General features: G+C 35.9%; 2 long non-coding RNA genes across 3 annotated transcripts in view; one reads left to right on the top strand and one right to left on the bottom strand.

The window, feature by feature from the left end:
* LOC107984685 (uncharacterized) overlaps window positions 1–18,435 on the top strand; it is a 216,619-nt gene that overhangs the window by 14,871 nt on the left and 183,313 nt on the right. Inside the window, exon 3 of the long non-coding RNA XR_007064101.1 lies at window positions 241–377. This is a non-coding gene — a long non-coding RNA (uncharacterized LOC107984685). The remainder of the gene's footprint in view (window positions 1–240; window positions 378–18,435) is intronic.
* LINC02326 (long intergenic non-protein coding RNA 2326) overlaps window positions 1–18,435 on the bottom strand; it is an 89,407-nt gene that overhangs the window by 10,511 nt on the left and 60,461 nt on the right. The window lies entirely within an intron of this gene.

Here is an 18,435-nt window from a genome sequence, read left to right on the forward strand (position 1 = left end):
CGACAAGATAAAAAGCATGTCATTAGAAGGAAATACTCTGTACTTTTATAAGATGGTGATATGGTTTGGCTCTGTGTCCCCACCCAAATCTCATCTTGATTTGTACTCCCATAATTCCCATGTGTTGGGGGAGGGACCAACTTGTGGGGGAGGGGGAGATAATTGAATCACGGGGGTGGTTTTCCCCGTACTGTTCTTGTGATAGTGAATAAGTCTTATGAGATCTGATGATTTTTTCAGGGGATTCTGCTTTTGCATCTTCCTCGTTTTCTCTTGCCGCTGCCAAGTAAGAAGTGCCTTTCACCTCACACCATGTTTCTGAGGCCTCCCCAGCCATGTGGAACTGCAAGTCCAGTTAAACCTCTTTTTCTTCTCAGGTATGTCTTTATCAGCAGCATGAAAACGAACTTATACAGGTGGCCTGGCAGGTATATTTGCACTACAAATAAAAAATCATCTCCTAAGGAATTGCAGTTGACAAAGACATTAAGGCACAGATCATAGATCAGAAGACTTAAATGTTTAGGAAGGCAGTATACCCCAAAGTGATCTACAGATTCAAGGCAATCTCTGTCAGAATCCTAGCTGACTTCTTTGTAGAAATTGATAAGCTTATTCTAAAATTCATGCAAAATTGCAAAAGATGTAGGATAGCCAAACAGTCCAAGAAAAGAAGAAAAATGTATGGGGACTCACACTTCCTAACTTTAAAACTTACTACAAATAACAGTAATCAAGAAAATATAATACTGGTACAAGGACAGGTATGGAAATCAGTGCAATAGAATTGAGTGTCCAGAAATAAATGCACATAATTATGGTCAACTGATTTTTGATATAAGTGTTAAACCATTCGTTGGGGAAAGAATAGTCTTTCCAACAAATAATGTAGGAATAGGTGGATATCTATATACAAAAGAATGAAATTAGACTCTTAAGATCAGAAGCAAAAATGAAATAAAAATCGACCAAAAACTTGAATGTAAGAGTTAAAACTATTAAATTTTTAGGAGGAAACACAAGAGTAAATCTTCCATACTTTGGATTTGGCCAAGGGTCCTTACATATGACACCGAAAAGCATGAGCAAACAAACAAATAAACAAAAGATAAATTAAACTTCATCAAAATTAGAGCAAACAAACAAAAGATAAATTAAACGTCATCAAAATTAAATACTTCTGTGTTTCAAAGGACATCAAGAAAATGAAAAAAGGCCACAGAATGGGAGAAATATTTGTAAAACATATCTTTGCTAAATTACTTACATTTGGAATATATAAAAACTTTTAGCTCAATAATAAAAGATAAAAACCCAAATAAAAAATAGGCAAAAGATCTCAGTAGACACTTTTCCAAGGAAGATATGCAAATTACCAAGAAACACATGAGGAATGCTCCACATCATTAGTTAGCAAAGGAAAGCAAATCACAACCACAGTGAGATGCCACTTCAGATACACTAGGATGTCTAGAATCAAAAAGTAGGATAATAACTAGTGTCAGTGAGTCAGAAACCTTATATGATGCTGGTAAGAATGTTAAATGGTGCAATCTCTTTGGAAAACAGTTTGGCAATTCTTCAAACAAACAGAGTTATCACATGACTCAACAATTCCACTCCTAGGTTTATATGCAAGAGAAATGGAAACATGTCCATATTAAAACTTATACATGAATATTTATAGTAAGCATTGAATAATAATTCATAATAGCCAAAAGGTGAAAACAATCTAAATATCCATCAACAGAAAGATGGATAAACAAAGTGGCATGTCAATACAATGCATTTTTGGAAGGGGAGAATAGAAAGAAATGAAGTACTGATATATCTGCCAATTTGGATGAACGCTGAAGATACTACCTTAAGTGAAAGATGCCTGTCACTGAAGTCCACATAGTACATTATTCCATTCATATCAAAGTCTAGAAAGGAAGTCTATAGAGACAGAGTGTAGATTAATGGTTGCTTAGGGCTGAGAATGGGGGTTGAATGATGAGGGGATGAGGAGATAATAGCTAAAGGGTATAGAATTTCTTTTTGAGGTGATACAATGCTCTAAAATTGATTGTGGTAATGGTTACAACATCTGTGAATATATGAATACTTTTAAAAATTGACACATAAAATTATATATTTTTTTTATGTACATGATGTTTTGAAATATGTATACATTGTGGAATGGCTACAGTGAGTAAATTAACATATGCATTACTTCAAATGGGTGAATTTTAGCCAGTGAATTTTATGTTAATAAAGCTATTTTTTGAAAAAAGGAAACTTTGGTGAGTTTGTTAACTTATGCTCTACATTTAAGGCTAGATAGCAACTACACAACAGACGAATAATATGACTTCTGGAAAAAAAGGCATATGGTAATGTGTCAAATCCTTCGGAACTGAATATTCAGTTCTTATAGATGAATAAAAATACAAAATATTCGGCTTTATTATACTGAAGCAAATTATTTGCCAATGCTAACTAAATGAGGTAGGAATGCTAACAGGCCAAGGATTCTATTTCTATTGAGAAAAATAGTCTTAAGCTGGAGGCTATCATAAATCCTTATTAACTTACAATGAAATTCGAAAGAGCAATCAACGGTAGCCTTTGAAACATTTCTTTCCAAAAAAAATCTCTAGAGGAGGGAACTAAAGAGAAAAAAGAGATCAGAGAGTAGACTCAAGATAGAAATGAAAGAAAACATGGTTGAGGTTTACATACTATGTAGCCACTGAGATAGTCACATTCAAGAGTATATAATTGATTTTTCTAGACAAAGTAGACTAGAAGATCAAGCACATATAGTGTAACTGAGAAAAAGAAATGGAAAATTAAGGGTTTCCAAGTCAACATATAAGCATGAAAAGAAAGAGATACATTTAACATTATCAGATTGCAAAGCAGTAAAAGTTACCTGTTGTCTAAAAATTTGAAGAAACACCTGGAATGACTGAGGCACTCCAAATTAGGATATTGGGTTTTTGTTTGTTTGTTTGTTTGTTTGTTTGTTTGTTTTGAGATGGAGTCTCACTGTGTCACCCGGGCTGGAGTGCAGTGGCATGATCTCGGCTCACTGCAACCTTTGCCTCCCAGGTTCAAGCAATTCTCCTGGCTCAGCCTCCCGAGTAGCTGGGACTACAGGCGCCTGCCACCATGCCTGGCTACTTTTTTTGTATTTTTAGTACAGACGGGGTTTCACCGTGTTGGCCAGGATGGTCTCTATCTCTTGGCCTCATGATTCGCCAACCTTGGCCTCCCCAAAGTGCTGGGATTACAGGTGTGAGCCACCGCGCCCGGCCTGGTTGTTGGTATTTTAGGGAGAGTCTAGTTTCGTTCAGAGGATAAGGTAGACCTATATTTAAGACTGTTATTCTTTTATTTACTTATTTATTTATTTTGAGACGGAGTTTCGCTCTTGTTGCCCAGGCTGGAGTGCAATGGCACAATCTCGGCTCATTGCAACCTCCACCTCCTGGATTCAAGCGATTCTCCTGCCTCAGCCTCCCAAGTAACTGGGATTACAGGCATGCGCCACCACGCCAGGCTAGTTTTGTATTTTTAGTAGAGATGGGGTTTCTCCATGTTGGTCAGGCTGGTCTCGAACTCCCAACCTCAGGTGATCCACCTGCCTCGGCCACCCAAAGTGCTGGGATTACAGGCGTGAGCCAGTGTGCCCAGCAAGAGTGTGATTCTCACAAGCAGAATTTAAAGCTCTTTATGAATAAAACAGAGGACATTGAAATATTATTATATTTTTGGTAATAATTCAAATGCATGTTGAAAATAGTTTTATCTAGAATTATTCTAAGAAAGATGAAAACAAGAACAGCATATAGCTTTCATTATAGAACTAGTGCATATGTATATGTGTATATACACACACATACATTATATATTATTTTATACATATACATATGTGTGTGTATATATATATATATTTTTTTCACAAAATTGGTGAAGGTTATATTGAGGAGAGCGAATAGAGGTAAAAAGACCGTGAAATGTAGTATAAAGTAGTATAAAGAGAAGGACCCATGTAGAAAAGAACATCAATATGCAACTTCAGAAGTATTGCCCCACTATAATTAATGTGTATAGATTTTCTCAAGAATGTAGGCTAACACTAATTTAATTCAAGGCCAGCTAAGAGCTTGATAAATGTAAGTGGAATGAATGCATTTCAATTAATATACTAGAGACATCCTGTGTATCAGAATTCATTCCTTCCATGCTGTTTCACATTCTTTGTCTTCCCTCTCAGCAGTGGGGTGTAATAGAAAGCGTACTTGCTTTGGATCATACAGACCTAAATTTAAATTTCAACTCTGACTTATTAGTTCTGTGATCTTAGTGGTCTCAGTAAGGAATTATTTTAGCATGGTTCTATTCTCACTTTCTCTTTATATAGCAAATATAGTTGAGGTAGTGGTAAGGTGAGTATCAAGGTCAGAAGGGCCACGGAAAAATGACAGGATGGAGTTGAAAAGAGTAAGACAGGCCCTTAGATTAACTAAGAGTTCTGATGTGTGGGGGTCCAGCTAATTCCTGTCTTCTGCACTGGTTTCTGCTGACCCCACGAGATCATGACACCACACTTCAGTGATCTATTGAGGCCTTTCTTTTCCTCCCCCTTTCCTCACAGGAGCTCCAAACTCTTTGTTGGAATGCTTTTCTTTCTTTCATCCATAGACATTTTTGGCTCACCCTTATAAGTAGTATAATAATATAATATCAATTACTGTGTGAATTGATAAGAAAGCTAAAGGCTATAGCTCCCCGTTACTGTTATGTGGTTATGCCTTAACAGTGAAATTTAGAGACAATACAGATGCCTTTTCTCTCTGTCTTCAGGAGTGATGCCACTATTTGAAGTTAGGGTAGAAAGGTGTTAACATGGAGGTGGAGATGGAACAGCTCTATCAGAGCTGATGGGGACTTGCTGGTGTCCCATAATCATATCATTTATAGGGCTATTGCTGCTCTGATTCTCTCTAGGAGAATATGATATAGATGATCTTTCTACTATTGGGTAACCAGAGACATGCAAATATCAAACTTTTTGCTTAGATTTAGAAAAATTTCTATTAAATTTTCTCCAAGTCAGAGACTAGATGAAAATGGAAAGCACCGATACGCACTTAGAATGTGAATAGCCATCTGTGAAAGTCCTGCGAATTATTCTCCAATTTTGCTAATCAAAATAATGTTTGGCAAGAGCTAGTTGATAGTCAAGTAGCCTTTTAAATGATATTACTTAAATCAAGGAAGTTGACTTGGAAAGCCTGTGTTATAACACCATTGAAGTGATTAATGGTATTATATACCTGCTCTAGCAAAATTCACCTCTGAGACAAAGTGCTATTTATATAATATCTCTTTTCATTTTCGCCAAAGTATTTTAACACAGAAAAAGCAGAATTCTAGCCTCAAGACTCATTTTTGCAAGGTGTGATTTTTTTTATTGGGTTTTAAGTTTCCATTATTTAAAAAAAGTCAGTAGATGGTATAATTTCAAGCTACTATATACATAATACGGAAATATTTTTTGAAATTATGAACTTTTTATAAACAAAAGGTGAAGCTCATTACTCTTGCATCAATGATAGAGCAAAATTCAGATGCTATTCATGCAAGAATTGAAATTAGACAAAAACTATATCTGCTTAATGTAATTCCATTAGAAATGTATGTGCTTATACAATATAATTGATTTTAAAAGTTTTTAACAGATTTTTTCCAGCTCTATTTAAGTTTGTGAGATTGAAGACATATGTACAGTTAAATTAGAATCTCAGATAAATAACAGCTATTTTTCAGCCAAAGTATATTGCATGGGTTATACTTATATGAAAAAAATATTGTTTATCTCATATTGGAATTTAATAGTGTCTTATATTTTTATTTGCTAAACCTGTATCTCTCTAATGGATAATTCCTTTATTTAGAGAATGATTTTTTTACAAATTCAAGGAAGAAAGATGTTTTATAATCATTCTAAATAGGATATTTGTACAATGACTAAAGTGATACTTTTTATTTTGAGTCATTTAAAAAATGGAGTGAGTTATGAAGATTTCCAAAAATCTGATGTTAGATTAGAATTCCAACATCTAGGGCAAATTAACAAAATTATTTTGGGATTTAGTTCACTAAAGTAGTAAAGTAGTGGTAGAAGATATTCAGAAATAGGAGAGAGGGAAGAATTAGTAAAATAGAGAAGGCCGTGATCTAAGAGAGGAACAGGAACCATCAGTTTAAGGAATAGTAGATATGCTAATATATATGACTTAAAGCTCATTTTCAACTTTACTCTTATAACAGTTACTATAGTTCAGACACTGTTATAAATACGTTTACTGGATAGTGACTCTTTAATCTTTAAAACAAGCCTTTGAGTAGTTGCTAATATTAGCCCCATCTTACAGATGAGAAAACTGAAGCAAGAAGAAGTTACTTGCTTAATGTTGGACTACAAGTAATGGTGGATATGGGATTTGAAACCCACCAGGCTGCTTCTGCTGTCTATACCAAACCACTATTCAGTACTACTTGCTGTCTATACCAAACCACTATTCCGTACTACTTTTACAACTAATTCTATTTTATGAATAAGATATTGTAACAGAAATTAGAAACTAATATGTATATTGACGTGCAATACATCTTTATAAACTGAAATAATTAGTAACAGGAAAAAACAAAAATAAATCTGCTATAATTGAATAATTATGTTTTCATGCTACCAAATGAAAAAATGGTTGGTGTCTGTCATGAGAAATTAAATCAAAATTTATGAAAATAAGCATATTTACCACAAAACAATAAAGCTATTGCCACTGCATACTAATTTTTAGACATGAAAAAAGAATTTGTGAATTTTGGGGGATGAGTTAGCACATAATTTTTCAACCATTCTGTAAAATCACATGTGGCAACCTTTACTTATCTTTAAACTTTTCCAACGTGATCTTAATGAGCTTGAGTTTTACACACATATGTATTAATTCATTAACTTTCCAAAGAGTTAGTTTTTTTGTTCTTATTTATTTATTTATTTATTTTTTATTATACTTTAAGTTTTAGGGTACATGTGCACAACGTGCAGGTTAGTTACATATGTATATATGTGCCATGTTGGTGTGCTGCACCCATTAACTTGTCATTTAACCTTAGGTATATCTCCTAATGCTATCCCTCCCCCCTCCCCCAACCCCACAACACGCCCTGGTGTGTGATGTTCCCCTTCCTGTGTCCATGTGTTCTCATTGCTCAATTCCCACCTATGAGTGAGAACATGCGTTGTTTGGGTTTTTGTCCTTGCGATAGTTTGCTGAGAATGATGGTTTCCAGCTTCATCCATGTCCCTACAAAGGACATGAACTCATCACTTTTTATGGCTGCATAGTATTCCATAGTGTATATGTGCCACATTTTCTTAATCCAGTCTATCACTGTTGGACATTTGGGTTGGTTCCAAGTCTTTGCTATTGTGAATAGTGCCACAATAAACATACATGTGCATGTGTCTTTATAGCAGCATGTTTTATAATCCTTTGGGTATATACCCAGTAATGGGATGGCTGGGTCAAATGGTATTTCTAGTTCTAGAAATACCCTGAGGAATCGCCACACTGACTTCCACAATGGTTGAACTAGTTTACAGTCCCACCAACAGTGTAAAAGTGTTCCTATTTCTCCACATCCTCTCCAGCACCTGTTGTTCCTGACTTTTTAATGATCGCCATTCTAACTAGTGTGAGATGGTATCTCATTGTGGTTTTGATTTGCATTTCTCAAAGAGGGAATCCTCCCTAACTCATTTTATGAGGCCAGCATCATCCTGATACCAAAGCCTGGCAGAGACACAAAAAAAGAGAATTTTAGACCAATATCCCTGATGAACATTGATGCAAAAATCCTCAATAAAACACAGGCAAGCTGAATCCAGCAGCACATCAAAAAGCTTATCCACCATGATCAAGTGGGCTTCATCCCTGGGATGCAAGGCTGGTTCAACATATGCAAATCAATAAACATAATCCAGCATATAAACAGAACCAATGACAAAAACCACACGATTATCTCAATAGATGCAGAAAAGGCCTCTGACAAAATTCAACAACACTTCATGCTAAAAACTCTCAATAAATTAGGTATTGATGGGACATACCTCAAAATAATAAGAGCTATCTATGACAAACCCACAGCCAATATCATACTGAATGGGTGAAAACTGGAAGCATTCTCTTTGAAAACTGGCACAAGACACAGATGCCCTCTCTCACCACTCCTATTCAACATACTGCTGGAAGTTCTGGCCAGGGCAATCAGGCAGGAGAAGGAAATAAAGGGTATTCAATTAGGAAAAGAGGAAGTCAAATTGTCCCTGTTTGCAGACGACATGATTGTATATCTAGAAAACCCCATCGTCTCAGCCCAAAATCTCCTTAAGCTGATAGGCAACTTCAACAAAGTCTCAAGATACAAAATCAATGTACAAAAATCACAAGCATTCTTATACACCAGTAACAGACAGAGAGCCAAATCATGAGTGAACTCCCATTCACAATTGCTTCAAAGAGAATAAAATACCTAGGAATCCAACTTAAAAGGGACGTGAAGGACCTCTTCAAGGAGAACTACAAACCACTGCTCAATGAAATAAAAGAGGATACAAACAAATGGAAGAACATTCCATGCTCATGGGTAGGAAGAATCAATATCGTGAAAATGGCAATACTACCCAAGGTAATTTATAGATTCAATGTCATCCCCATCAAGCTACCAATGACTTTCTTCACAGAGTTTTTTGGTTCTTAAGTAATTCTATTATGAAGTAACAACTGACTCATCACCCTTGCTATTTGCTTTTCTTCAAGTTCTAACTTATCTAACTCTGAAATTCTCTCCCTTGTCAAAGGCTTTGGGATATGGTTTGTCAAGCAATTACCTAAACTCACTTTATCAACACTCTATAATACCATGTCTATTGCAAGATTTATACTTTTACTTTTTAATCAATTTATCACTAAAGATTTATACTGTTACTTTTTAATCAATTTTTGGCTGTTTTAAAATTACTTCATCAATTTTTTTTGCAAGATCAGGCAACCATGTAAACATTGATCAAAGCCTTATGTAATGGGCAGATAAAGATTTAAATGGGGAGAGATGCTTGAATGGGTATTAATTTTAGAAGTGGTGAGTTTATCAGATAATATTGTCTGATATGGGAAGTTTTGCTTCCCAATGTGAGCAACATAGCTGTATGGAAAGAATAAATAAGATAAATCCCTTTTAATTACTCTTATTGGTATATTTGGAATATTTTTCAGATGTTATTATTATCCACTAAATTCTCCCATGTGGATAGTAGCTATTGTCATTAAAAATTTTTGCACAAGTGAAAAGAGTCTAAAGTACCTGTATTATTTTTGCAATGCAAAAAAATTTAAGAAGTCATAGTTTTTGAGTTTGAAACTGAGTTTATTGATTTGTTGTATCAGCTAAGTTAAAGCTCGATTAGCAGTATACCAAATCAAAAGAAATCTTATTAAAAATACCACTGAATATGATCTATTTAAACTATAAAATCTTATTGATATCTAGTACATACCTTAGTGGGAAACTTATTTTTACCTTGCAAATTTTCAATGTCCGTCTTAAAACTGTAACCCAGATGCCAGAGTTACTTCTGAAAGATCGAGTCTGCCTCTTTTGGAAGTGGCTGAAACTAGAAACCTCTTCTATCCTTCTCCAGTTCACTCCATGAAGAAAAAGTAAGTAAAAAACAAAATTCTAAAACACAAGTCTGCTCTAAATAGGTGCTTCTCTATCTACTAAATGCCTGCATTACATACATATCTCTGCCTTTATGTCTATGTAAATTTTCTTTCATTTCTGCTTTCTGCCTTCTTCCCTATTTCCCTCCCTTTCTCCTCATCTTTCCTATCTCTTTTATCTACTAATAATGATTTTCATTCTTTCCTCCGCTCATAAAGAATCTACCCTTTTTTCACATGTAATTAGTTCCAGACACACCTCCTCAGTTTTTCCCTTTCTTATGAATTCATTAATTGCTGAGAAATATTGGCTTTACTAAACTTTACCATATATTAATTTTTCATTATAAAAGGGTCTTACTATAAGATGTTAAAAAAATAAGAAATTTTACCTAGACATATAGCTAACCAGGGAAGTAAAAGATCTCTACAAAGAGAATTACAAAACACTGCTAAAATAAATCAGAGATGACACAAACAAATGGAAAAATATTCTAAGTTCATGGATAAGATGAATCAATATCACTAAAATGGTGATACTGCCCAAAGCAATTTACAGATTCAATGCTGTTGTCATCAAACTACTAAAGATGTTCATTACAGAAATAGCAAATAATGTTTCAAAATTCATATAGAACCAAAAAAGAGCTCAAATAGTGAAGACAGTCCTAAGCAAAAAGAGCAAAGCAGGAGGCATCATGCTATCTGACTTCAAACTATACTGTAGGGCTACAATAACCAAAACAGCATGATGCTAGTACAAAAACAGACACATATACCAATGGAACAGAACAGAGAGCCCAGAAATGAGGTCACATATATACAACAATTTGATCTTCAACATAGCTGACAAAAACAAGCAATGGAGAAAGGACTTTCTATTCAATAAATGCTGCTGGGATAATGGGCTAACCATAAGCAGAAGATTGAAACTTCCTTACACAATACATAAAAATAAACTCAAGATGGATTAAAAAATGAAAATATAACCAAAATCTATAAAAATCCTAGAAGACAACCTAGGCAATACCATTCTTTACATAAGTATGGGCAAATATTTCATGATAAGGATGCCAAAAGCAATTGCAACAAAAGTAAAAATTGACAAATGAGATCTAATTAATCTAAAGAGCTCTGCATTGCAAAATAAACTATCAACAGAGTAAACAGACAACCTACAGAATGGGAGAAAATATTATATTTGCAAACTATGCATCTGACAAAGTTCTACTATCCAGCATCTATAAGGAACTTAAAAAATTTACAAGAAAAAAAGCAAACGACCCCATTAAAAAGTAGGCAAAGAACATAAACAGATACTTTTCAAAAGAAGACATACATGCAGCCAACCATCATATTAAAAAGAGCTGAACATCACTGATCATAGAGAAATGCAAATCAAAACCACAATGAGATACCATCTCACACCAGTCAGAATGGCTATTACAAAGTCAAACCATAACAGATGCTGGCAAAGTTGCAGAGAAAAGGGAATGCTTATTCACCGTTTTTGGCTCAGTTCAACCATTTTTGGTTAGTTCAACCATTGTGGAAAGCAGTGTGGTGATTCCTCAAAGAGCTAAAAACAGAACTGCCATTCGATCCACCAATCTCATTACTGGGTATATATCCAAAGGAACGTAAATCCTTCTACCATAAAGACATATGCACATGTATGTTCATTGTAGCACAGTTCACAATAGAAAAGACCATATTCACAATAGAATAGAAATGTAATCTACCTAAATGCCCATCCATGAGAGACTGGATTAAAATAATGTAGTATAAATACACCATGGAATACTATTCAGCCATAAAAAAGAATGAGATTATGTCTTTTGTGGGGACATGGATGGAGCTGGAGGTCATTATCCTTAGCAAACTAACTCAAAAACCAAAAACCAAATACTACATGTTCTCACTTGTAAGTGGGAGCTAAATGATGAGAATTCATGGACAGAAAGAAGGGAACAGCAGACATAGGGTCCTACCAGAGGGTGGAGAGTGGGAGGATGAACGCAGCAGAAATAACTATTGGGCACTAGGGCTTAGTACCTGGGTGATGAAATAATCTGTACAGCAAACCCCTGTTACATGAGTTCACCTATGTAATAAACCTGCACATGTACCCCTGAACCTAAAATAAAAGTTAAAATAAAAATAAAAAATAGAGAAAATGTTACTTTGGTGAATGAAAAGTAATTAAGACCCTACCTCAAAGATGATCAAAGTTAAAACAAAATAAACCTAGCTTTTGTCACTTTATACAATGTTAATAAAATATACCAAAAAAGATATATTCAATTTTCCTTTTATAAAATAACATGTATTCATGAGAAGGAGATAGATGAGTGTGAACTATGAGCTTATATTCATCCCTGCCCTTGAGCTGATTTCACACAGCACAAAACAATGTCTCTTGATATGCTGGCAAAGATCAGAAAAATGCAGTTCACAGTTTTGAGACTTATTGTCATTATGCCTCCTTTGTTACTTTTGCTTGGGTAAGACTCTAATCCATCTTCAGTGTATAAGGAGACTTTCTTCCAGGTAGTTCTTTCTGAACACAACTTTGGGGTTACCTTGGACTTCTAACTCTCTGCCTTACTTTCAAACTTAAGGTGACAGTATGTTCTGAAGAACAAATTTGAATTCAATTTTACTATGTAGTCAAGCCCCCACCATCCCTTCTCACCCTAATCTCTCTATCTGCCTTATAAAAGGTAATTGTAGAAAAGAGCAAAATTAAGCCAAGAGAAGAGACTCTATATCTATGTACAATGAACCAATATTGCTTCTGTTTAGCTTCAGGCTCTTAGGACAGCATACAGATTTGAACTGTGAGATTACTCTGTAGACCACCCATTTGACTTGGTTTCATGATCAGCTTAACTGTAGTTATCTATAATCTGTAATTAGTTATATGACCTAAGTAAATTATGAGTGAATTAACTTATCCATATTCATTATCAATATTATTCTTAATTGACATAGTAGTGTAGTTTGAAAGACTAAAGCTTCTTTTTCATGGCATGGGAGTATTGTATAAGTAGATATAAATCTTGCTACTGTGCCTGACAGCATAGTTGACAGATTTTACTAACTTTTTCAAGCTCAAATATCAGAGACTTCTGCTTGAAGAGCAAAATACTCTTCAAAAACTTCATATACATAAGTATTATAGAGTATGACAATAAGAGACATTTGAAAATTATTTTAAAACTATTAAGAGGCCAGGCGTGGTGCCTCACACCTGTAATCTCAACACTTTGGAAAGCTGAGGTGGGAAGATCACTTGAGGCCAGGCATTCAAGACCAGCCTAGGCAACATAGTGAGACTCCATCTCTAAAAAAAAATTAAAAAAAAAATAGCCAGGCATGATGGCATGTACCTGTAGCCCCAGCTATTCAGGAGGCTGAGGTGGGAGGATCTCTTGAACCCAGGCGGTCAAGGCTGGAGTGAGCCATGATCACGCCACTGCACTCCAGCCTGGGTGACAGAGTGAGACCCTGTAATTAAAGCAATAGAAATAAAACTATTAAGAATCGAAGAGGAACGTACATTACAAATTAAAATATGGAAGGAATATATCACAATCCTAAGCAATTAGACTGATTCAAAATTATCTTTGCATTATGATACAATTTGGTATACTTCCATATTTAGGCTCATGCTATTTGAATTTTCGGCTATAATAGATAATTCCTAGATTTGTAGGCGGTAGGGAGCTGACAGTTGTTAAGCAATTCATATTTCCTCCAAATGAAATGTAAGGCAGCTTTTTAAAAAATCCACATTATAGATAAAGAAATTGAGGCCAAGAGAGTTCAGTTAACTTCTCCAGGGTCACAGAACTATTAAGCAGCAAAACTGGATTTGGATGGAGCTTGAGCACATACTTTTTCTTCTGTATAATGCCAATTCTCTACTTCAGAAATGGAGTGGAATGAGGAAATATGGAATAAGAAAATATTCAAGTGGTGAGAACAGCATGTTTGCCATTTGAGATATGAATATTTCTGACATATGTGACCAAGAAGGGAATACATGGATGAGAGAATCCTTTCTCTTGCATTCTCTTTTCTAAGGATCAGTGGACCTGCAGGATGGGAGCTATAGCTAGAAAAAGTCCACAGTTTTATTGTCAGAAACAATTACCACTGACAGATTTAAAACCTTTTAAAGCCGTTTCTGTATATTGTGAAAAGCATGACTTTTTTGTGCTTGTGTGTACATGAGATACCTATAACTCTTTTAGTATGGGCATGAAAAAAGAAGATGTGAGATTTATAAGTGGAAGCTAAAGCTTGAGTACACATGGACATAAAAAACAACAGGCACCGGGGACTGCCAGGGCAGGGAGGGAGGTGGCAAGGGTTGAAAGCTACCTATTGGGCACTATGCTCACTACTTGGGTGACAGGATCAATTGTACCCCAAACCTCAGCATCATGCAATATACCCATGTAACAAACCTGCACATGTACCAACTGAATCTAAAATGGAAGTTGGAATTTTTTAAAAAGTGAAACAAAGATGTGAGAAAAAGATAAAGGGAGAAGAAAAGAGAGAGAAGACAAGAAAATACATAAATATAGAAATGATGCATAGGGCCGGGCATGATGGCTCACGCCTATAATCTCAGCACTTTGGGAGGCCAAGGCAGACGGATCACGCCGTCAGGAGATTGAGACCATCCTGGCTAACACGGTGAAATCCCGTCTCTGCTAAAAATACAAAAAAAATTAGCCAGGCGTGGTGGCATGCACCTGTAGTCCCAGCTACTCAGGAGGCTGAGGCAGGAGAACTGCTTGAACCTGGGAGGTGGAGGTTGCAGTGAGCCAAGATCACGCCACTGCACTCCATCCTGGGTGACAGAGCAAAAAAAAAAAAAGGAAATGATTCATAGGGAAAATATTATTATTTTTTAAATGTTTTTAAATGGTTCAGTAAATGTTATAAATTACAGTGAAATAACATTTGAAGAAAGCCTGAGAAGATGTAGGTTCTGGGCCTATTGCTGTGAATTAGACAACAAACTTTCCTAGTGTTACAGGAATAATTAAGGAAAAGCAGTAATTGCTACTAGTTTCTTCCACCTGATGTACTGGCAGAGGCTATAGCCAGCCAGCTGGGAAAGTCAGGAAGGTAATAAAGTCACATGAGGAAGGTAGAAGGGACAACTTGAAGGCCTCATGAAACTCATGCTGAGGGTCTCTGAATGCCAGGAAATCCTTCTCCTGGCTGGGTGCAAGACTGCGTCTCTTACTCTGCAGAAATTTGCTGGCATCTTTCTGTCAAGTTCATAATTTCCTAGTTGTGCCAGCTGCATAGGGCTGCAGAGGACAATGCCAAACTCAGTGGAGCCAAAAGTAATCTCAGAATGTAAGAAAACATCAATAGTAGGCTTTACTTATGCTCAGGGATCATTTATGATTCTCCCACTACCAAATCAACAGACTTTCTCCCCGTTATTCCTGCCCATAACCTTCTATACTCTTCCTGGAGAAACATTGCCAGTTGTTTCCGTATGCAAGGCTGTCCTCATTCCTCATTTACCTCTTTTGAGTCCTGATTTATTGTATACTCACGACTGTGGATGTTTTCCAAAAATAAGTCTCTCACCCTTTGATCTTTTCCCTTTATATACTTAATAAAATATTACTAAAATTAACATATACTCCAATAAAAATGTCATGAGGCACACAGGAGATGCACAAAATAAAAAGGGTAAATAACTAATAAGCATAAAATAGTCAAATCACGAATTATCCAAAAAATGTAAATAAAAAAAAAAGCCATACCATTTACACCTATCACGTTGTCAAAGACAATATGTGAAACAAAGTTGTAATACAGAGTATTGTGAAGAGTGTAAGAAATTGGTCACTCATTTATTGAGAGTTTTTAGCATGAAGGGTTGTTGAATTTTGTCAAAGGCCTTTTCTGCATCTATTGAGATAAACATGTGGTTTTTGTCTTTGGTTCTGTTTATATGCTGGATTACATTTATTGATTTGCGTATATTGAACCAGCCTTGCATCCCAGGGATGAAGCCCACTTGATCATGGTGGATAAGCTTTTTGATGTGCTGCTGGATTCGGTTTGCCAGTATTTTATTGAGGATTTTTGCATCAATGTTCATCAAGGATATTGGTCCAAAATTCTCTTTTTTGGTTGTGTCTATGCCCGGCTTTGGTATCAGGATGATGCTGGCCTCATAAAATGAGTTACGGAGGATTCTCTCTTTTTCTATTGATTGGAATAGTTTCAGAAGGAATGGTACCAGTTCCTCCTTGTACTTCTGGTAGAATTCGGCTGTGAATCCATCTGGTCCTGGACTCTTTTTGGTTGGTAAGCTATTGATTATTGCCACAATTTCAGAGCCTGGTATTGGTCTATTCAGAGATTCAACTTCTTCCTGGTTTAGTCTTGGGAGGGTGTATATGTCGAGGAATTTATCCATTTTTTCTAGGTTTTCTAGTTTATTTGCATAGAGGTGTTTGTAGTATTCTCTGATGGTAGTTTGTATTTCTGTGGGATCAGTGTTGATATCCCCTTTATCATTTTTTATTGCATCTATTTGATTCTTCTCTCTTTTCTTCTTCATTAGTCTTGCTAGCGGTCTATCAATTTTGTTGATCCTTTCAAAGAACTAGCTCCTGGATTCATTAATTTTTTGAAGGGTTTTTTGTGTCTCTGTTTCCTTCAGTTCTGCTCTGATTTTAGTTATTTCTTGCCTTCTGCTAGCTTTTGAATGTGTTTGCTCTTGCTTTTCTAGTTCTTTTAATTGTGATGTTAGGGTGTCAATTTTGGATCTTTCCTGCTTTCTCTTGTGGGCATTTAGTGCTATAAATTTCCCTCTACACACTGCTTTGAATGTGTCCCAGAGATTCTGGTATGTTGTGTCTTTGTTCTCATTGGTTTCAAAGAACATCTTTATTTCTGCCTTCATTTCGTTATGTACACAGTAGTCATTGAGGAGCAGGTTGTTCAGTTTCCATGTAGTTGAGCGGTTTTGAGTGAGTTTCTTAATCCTCAGTTCTAGTTTGATTGCACTGTGGTCTGAGAGACAGTTTGTTATAATTTCTGTTCTTTTACATTTGCTGAGGAGAGCTTTACTTCCAACTATGTGGTCAATTTTGGAATAGGTGTGGTGCGGTGCTGAAAAAATTTATATTCTGTTGATTTGTGGTGGAGAGTTCTGTAGATGTCTATTAGGTCTGCTTGGTGCAGAGCTGAGTTCAATTCCTGGGTATCCTTGTTAACTTTCTGTCTCGTTGATCTGTCTAATGTTGACAGTGATTGATGGGACGTATCTCAAAATAATAAGAGCCATCTATGACAAACCCACAGCCAATATCATACTGAATGGCAAAAACTGGAAGCATCCCCTTTGAAAACTGGCACAAGACAGGGATGCCCTCTCTCACCACTCCTGTTCAACATAGTGTTGGAAGTTCTGGCCAGGGCAATTAGGCAGGAGAAGGAAATAAAGTGTATTCAATTAGGAAAAGAAGAAGTCAAATTGTCCCTGTTTGCAGATGACATGATTGTATATCTAGAAAACCCCACTGTCTCAGCCCAAAATCTCCTTAAGCTGATAAGCAACTTCAGCAAAGTCTCAGTATACAAAATCAATGTACAAAAATCACAAGCATTATTATACACCAATAACAGACAAACAGAGAGCCAAATCATGAGTGAATGCCCATTCACAATTGCTTCAAAGAGAATAAAATACCTAGGAATCCAACTTACAAGGGACGTGAAGGACCTCTTCAAGGAGAACTACAAACCACTGCTCAATGAAATAAAAGAGGATACAAACAAATGGAAGAACATTCCATGCTCATTGGTAGGAAGAATCAATATCATGAAAATGGCCATACTGCCCAAGGTAATTTATAGATTCAATGCCATCCCCATCAAGCTACCAATGACTTTCTTCACAGAATTGGAAAAAACTACTTTAAAGTTCATATGGAACCAAAAAAGAGCCCGCATCACCAGGTCAATCTTAAGCCAAAAGAACAAAGCTGGAGGCATCATGCTACCTGACTTCAAACTATACTACAAGGCTACAGTAACCAAAACAGCATGGTACTGGTACCAAAACAGAGATATAGATCAATGGAACAGAACAGAGCCCTCAGAAATAACGCCACATATCTACAACTATCTGATCTTTGACAAACCTGAGAAAAACAAGCAACGGGGAAAGGATTCCCTATTTACTAAATGGTGCTGGGAAAACTGGCTAGCCATATGTAGAAAGCTGAAACTGGACCCCTTCCTTACACCTTATACAAAAATTAATTCAAGATGGATTAAAGACTTAAACGTTAGACCTAAAACCATAAAAACCCTAGAAGAAAACCTAGGCATTACCATTCAGGACATAGCCATGGGCAAGGACTTCATGTCCAAAACACCAAAAGCAATGGCAACAAAAGCCAAAATTGACAAATGGGACCTAATTAAACTAAAGAACTTCTGCACAGCAAAAGAAACTACCATCAGAGTGAACAGGCAACCTACAATATGGGAGAAAATTTTTGCAACCTACTCATCTGACAAAGGGCTAATATGCAGAATCTACAATGAACTCAAACAAATTTACAAGAAAAAAACAAACAACCCCATCAAA

Source organism: Homo sapiens, chromosome 14 (genome assembly GCF_000001405.40).
Source record: "Homo sapiens chromosome 14, GRCh38.p14 Primary Assembly".
Lineage (NCBI taxonomy): Eukaryota > Metazoa > Chordata > Mammalia > Primates > Hominidae > Homo > Homo sapiens.